This window comes from Homo sapiens, chromosome 2, assembly GCF_000001405.40.
Source record: "Homo sapiens chromosome 2, GRCh38.p14 Primary Assembly".
Taxonomy (NCBI): domain Eukaryota; kingdom Metazoa; phylum Chordata; class Mammalia; order Primates; family Hominidae; genus Homo; species Homo sapiens.
The window spans coordinates 178,407,447-178,413,422 of record NC_000002.12 but is presented as its reverse complement, the minus strand read 5'-3'; positions in this window follow the sequence as shown (position 1 = coordinate 178,413,422).

The window sequence follows — 5,976 nt, the reverse complement described above, 5'->3', positions numbered from 1 at the left end:
GGTAGTTCGAGAGAGACCATCCTGACCAATATGGAGAAAGAAACCCCATCTCCACTAAAAATACAAAATTAGCCGGGTGTGGTGGTGCATGCCTGTAATCCCAGCTACTAGGGAGGCTGAGACAGGAGAATCGCTTGAACCCGGGAGGCGGAGGTTGTAGTGAGCCAAGATCATGTCACTGGATGTTATTTGTTAATTTTTTGATGTACACTGCAAGATCACACAAGAAATGAAGCTATTAAGCCCAGGTATTGGGCCTTTTATAGGGGTGTTTTTTCATGGTGAATGGGTAAATATGTCTCTACTTTGTGTGCTTATTAAACAACCCTGACTATGTGGTCTTGAAAGGAGAGATCCTGCCTTAGTTTCGCCTCTCATTAGCCTTATGTGAGAGCTTTTTTTCAGAGACAGGCAACCAGGAATATTTATTCCAGAAGCAGTCATTGCAGTGGAGAATTTGGGGTTTGAATCATAGAAGACAGAACTAGATAAAATCCTAGATGTTACCTCCAATCCCTTCATTTAAAAATTTGAGGTCACCCAGGCCAGGTGCAGTGTCTCACGCCTGTAATCTCAGCACTTTGGGAAGCAGAGGCAGGTGGATCACCTGAGGTTAGGAGTTCGAGACCAGCCTGGCCAACATGATGAAACCCCGTCTCTAATAAAAATACAAAAACTAGCTGGGTGTGATGGTGCACACATGTAATCCCAGCTACTAGGGAGGCTGAGGCAGGAGAATTGCTTGAACCCGGGAGGCGGGGATTGCAGTGAGCCCAGATGGCGCCACTGCACTCCAGCCTGGGCGACAGCGCGAGACTCTGTCTCAAAAAAAAAAAAACAACAACAAAATTGAGGTTACCCAAATTAAGAGAATTGGTAGTTAAGACAGACCAAGATTAATAACTTTTAGACATTTGTAGACCCTAGTTATTGGGGGTGCTAGACTCTTAACACTTTTCCAAGAAAAGGGGTAAATCTTGTGTTTCTTAATTCGGAAGGAAAAAAAAAATCTACCACTTGCAATTTGGCATGGGCCAGAGGCAATATTATCAGTTATATGCCTCTACGGTGTGATATTGAGTGATATACATGGAGAGAATATGGGCTACATTTTATGGTTTACTGTTTTGGGGAAATGAGGCCTTTGACATGCAGGGTAATTATTGCTGGGGACTCTGCTCAATAGGAGGCCATCACCTGGGCCCCATGCCAAAGGGAAAGCTTGTAAATTCCACTTCCCTGGAAGGCTGATAACGTGTAATAATCATGACATGGATTACTTGGTCCTGTTGGGTCCCAGCTTGTGAGATTCTTTCTGATCAAAGTTACCATCATGGGCAAACTGTGGTTAAATAGGCTTTAATCTCTGTGTTCATAAAGTTCTATTATCCTGGTCCAAGAGATTGGCAGTCTATAACTTCCTTTTTTTTTTTTTTAACACAAACATGAAATTAACACTTTTTGCTCTAAACTAATTAAAGATTCACGGGAAGTTGCAAAGGTAGTATGGAGATGTCCCTGTACCTTTCACCAAGTCCTTCAGTGGTTACATCTTACATAAATATAGTGCAATATCAAAACAAGGAAATTAACAATGGTACAACATGGATATAGATGTCATTTTTTTATTTAAAAATTTTACTTGTGGTAAAGTACACATAACATAAAATTTACCATCCTAGGCTGGGCATGGTGGCTCATGCCTGTAATCCCAGCAATTTAGGAGGCCAAGGTGGGGGCAGATCATGAGGTCAGGAGTTCGAGACCAGCCTGACCAACATGGTGAAACCCCATCTCTACTAAAAATACAAAAATTAGCTGGGCATGGTGGTGCTCACCTATAGTCCCAGCTACTCAGGAGGCTGAGGCAGGAGAATGGCTAGAACCCGGGAGGCGGAGGTTGCAGTGAGCTGATATTACTCCGTTGCACTCCAGCCTGGGCGACAGAGTGAGACTCCATCTCGAAAAAAAAAAAAAAAAATACCATCCTATTTTTAGGTGCACAGTTCAGTAGTGTCAAGTACATTCACTTTGTTGTGCACCCAATCTCCAGAACTCTTTCTCTTGCAAAATTGCAACTGTGTATGTACCTTTTAAATACTAATGTCCCATTTTCTACTCCTCCCATCTCCTGGAAACCACTTTTCTATTATACTTTCTATTTCTATGAATTTAACTACTTTGGGTACCTCATATAAGTGGAATCATACACTATTTGTCTTTTTGTACCTGACTTATTTCATTTAGTATAATATCCTCAAGGTTCATCCATGTTGTATATGCATCAGAATTTATTTCATTTTTAAGGCTGAATAATATTCCATTTTATGTATATACCACATTTTGTTTATTCTTCAGTCAGTGAACACTTGGATTACTTCCTTCCACCTTTTGGCTATTGTGAATATGGCTGTGTAAATATCTTCTCAAGACCCTGATTTCAATTCTTCTGGATATTGTTATGGGCTGAATGTCCCCACAAAATTCCTATGTTGAAGCCATAATCCCTAGTATCTCAGAATGTGACTGTATTTGGAGACAGGGCCTTTATAGAGATAATTAAGTTAAAATGAGGTCCTTAGGGTGGGCCCTAATTCAATCTGACTGATGTCCTTATAAGAGGAAATTTGGGCACACTGAGAGACACCAGATACTTGTATGGGCCGAGGGACCACGAAGAAACCACACCTACTGATTGATGCCTTGATCTTGAACTTTCGGTCTTCAGAGCTGTGAGAAAATAAATTTCAGTTAAGTCACTCAATCTATGGTTTTCTGTTATGGCAGCCCTAGGAAACTGATGTAGGTATATACCCAGAGGTGAGATTGCTGGATCATATGGTAATTCTATTTTAATTTTTTGGGAAACTGTCATACTCTTTTCCACAGTAGGTGCACCATTTTACATTGCCATCAGTAGATCACAAGGGTTCCAATTTCTCCACAATCTCATTGACACTTGTGTGCTGTTTGTTCGTTTGTTTATAGTAGCCATCCTACTCTCTGTGATGTGGCATCTCATCGTGGTTTTGATTTGCATTTCCGTAATGCAATGTAGTGATGTTGAGCACCTTTTAAAGTGCTTGTTGGCCATTTGTGTATCTTCTTTGGGTAAATGTCTATTCAGGTCCTTTGCCCATTTTTAAATAAAGTGTTTGCTTTTTTGTTGTTGAGTTGTAGGTTTCTTATCCTTTAAAAACCCTCTTGTTGGACCTAAACCCTGGGAGAACTGATGACCATAGAAGTTTTCAAGGAACCTAATTTTAGAAAGAGAGGGGGCTACAGATATGTAGATTAATTGTGTGACTTACTGTCCAAACCGGACACTTTTGAGAAGGGGGTGCTAAACATCATTATAATTTTATATTTTAAAAAATATTTATTGACCAACAAATTCATGTTATTATATTGGTGGACTTATAACAATTGTATTCAATTTTCAAAGAAAAAATTCTTTTTTAAAAAATAAAAATCTAGAAAATTTAGAAAGTTTTATTCGTAAAAGAATATACAAGGATTTAAAAACAAATTTAAAAATGTATTCATATTGATTATCTGAACATTAAAAAAACTCAACAGAATAATAACTTTTGGTACATATTTGTGTCCACTAATCAGTTACTTAGATGTATCTCTAATATTGTATCACTGGCATTTTCCAAAGTGCGTGTCTGGTCTTATTATTTTTCATTTTCTTCTTAAAATTGCCTGCAGTGTTCTTTGACATTGTGTTTTATGGTTAATAATTTTGTGATTGTTTACATCTTCAATTGTTTCTTCACAGTAGAATAATATTTTTAACTGAGAAACTACTCTCTCTCTGCAAGTGCTGAAATACTTGGTAAATTTGGGGCAAATCCTGCTAAATGGAGGATATTCTAAAATAGTTTTTGTTGTGAAATGTGTAAAATTTCAGCCTAAATATTTTCACAAGAATTGTCCTTTTGCCATTCGTCAGAACGCCTGAAGCAACAAATAGTTTTGACAAGACAAAATATGTCAAATAAATTGTCTCCAGATTCTTTTGAATGTTTTGTCAATTTAAATGCTGCAAAACCATTGGGCGGTCTTGATTTTATTCCACTCGAATGAAGAATATAAATTTATGCAATTAAAAATAAGAACTAGATCAAAAGATTCTTCTTGTAAGTCTCGACATTCCAAAGTCCAGTTAGAAAATTTTAAGATTATGTCTACATTGTTTGAGCCCTCATCATTTAATTTATTCAGTTCCTGTCTTCTGTGAAGGAATAAAATGTAGTGTTATCCTGTTTGGAAGTTTTGTTTTTCACTAATTGCAATTCATTAAAAGCTTCAAAAACTGAAGTTTTTAGCATGCTATTCATGGAATATTTAGATTAACAATTTCTAACTGATTTTGTGCAAAGTACAAAATTTAGGGGACTTGTTACATAAAAGTTCAATACCATTGTAAGATACTTAGGATGATTTACAAAGTAGTACTTCAAAGGCTCAAATATTTTAAAATTCAATTGATGATAGATAGTAAAAAAGGTATATAACTATGCTGAAAACTTCAGGGATTTTAAAAATTGAATATCAATTTTGCTAGAAAAATTTTGTAATTTGATTACGTATACTGGAAATTATATAAATATTTGTTAAATGTGACAGCTACTTTCATTGGTAAGATTTCTCTGTTTGAACACAGTTTTGAATTATACTATATATATACTATAGCCAAATATATATAATATATATAATATATATTATACTATATAATATATATAATATATATTATACTATATAATATATATAATATATATTATACTATATAATATATACTGTAGCCAAAATCTAGTATATACATATTTTTGTCTTATTTTATATCTAGTATATTTTTGCCTTGAAGTTTTCTTAATAAGAACATTGCTTTTACCACAATGCTATACCCACCGACATTTGCATCTTCACAGCACAGTTGAACTTTTGAACTGAATTTTTAGTAACGTTCACAAAATAGTGTCAGATATTTTATTTTCGACACAATTAACTTCTAAAAGTTTTACTTTGATTTCATAAATTGGATGAAAAAAATTGAACTACTTTTGGAATTACTTCAGTTGATTTTCTATTTGAAGCATCTTATGCCAGTGGTATAAAATTGACATTATTTAACTATCTGCAAAGTTCTGCTCTTGGAGCCAACACACTAACAGCTATTACTTCATGTTAATGTACACACACGAAACTTGGATTAAAAAATGAGTAAAGGTAATTTAGAAGTAGAGACATGTGAACTGAATGAAACTCATGCTTCACGGAATGCTATGAAAATGTCCCTTCTGCTTTGGGAGGCTGAGGCAGGCAGATCACCAGAGGTCAGGAGTTTGAGACCAGCCTGGGCAACATGGTGAAACCCTGTCTCTACTGAAAATACAAAAAATCAGCCAGTCATGGTGGTGCATGCCTGTAGTGCCGGCTACTCAGGAGGCTGAGGCATGAGAAATGCTTGAGCCCTGGAGGTGGAGGTTGCAGTGAGCCAAGATCTCACCACTGAACTCCAGCCTGGGCGACAGAGTGAGAATCTGTCTCAAAAAACAAAACAAAACAAAAACAAAAAAAAACAAAAAAACAAAGCCCCTTCTGCTGCTCTGTGTGTCAAATCACCATCTTTAGGCATGAAGTTCTTAAAATAACAACTAACTTTTCAAATACATGCTATGGCTTATTCACAAGATTTAAATCTGGTTTTCAAGTTAGAGACTGAATATACAAACAGACAAGGCCACATCATATATGACAATAGAACTCTTACCCACAGCCTCTACAGCAGGGGTGTCCAATCTTTTGGCTTCCCTGGGCCACACTGGAAGAAGAATAATTGTGTTGGGCCACACACAACATGCACTAACACTAATGATATCTGATGAGCTAAAAAAAAAAAAAAAAAAAAGTAAAATAAATCTCATAACGTTTTAAGAAAAGTTTATGAATTTGTGTTGGGCCACATTC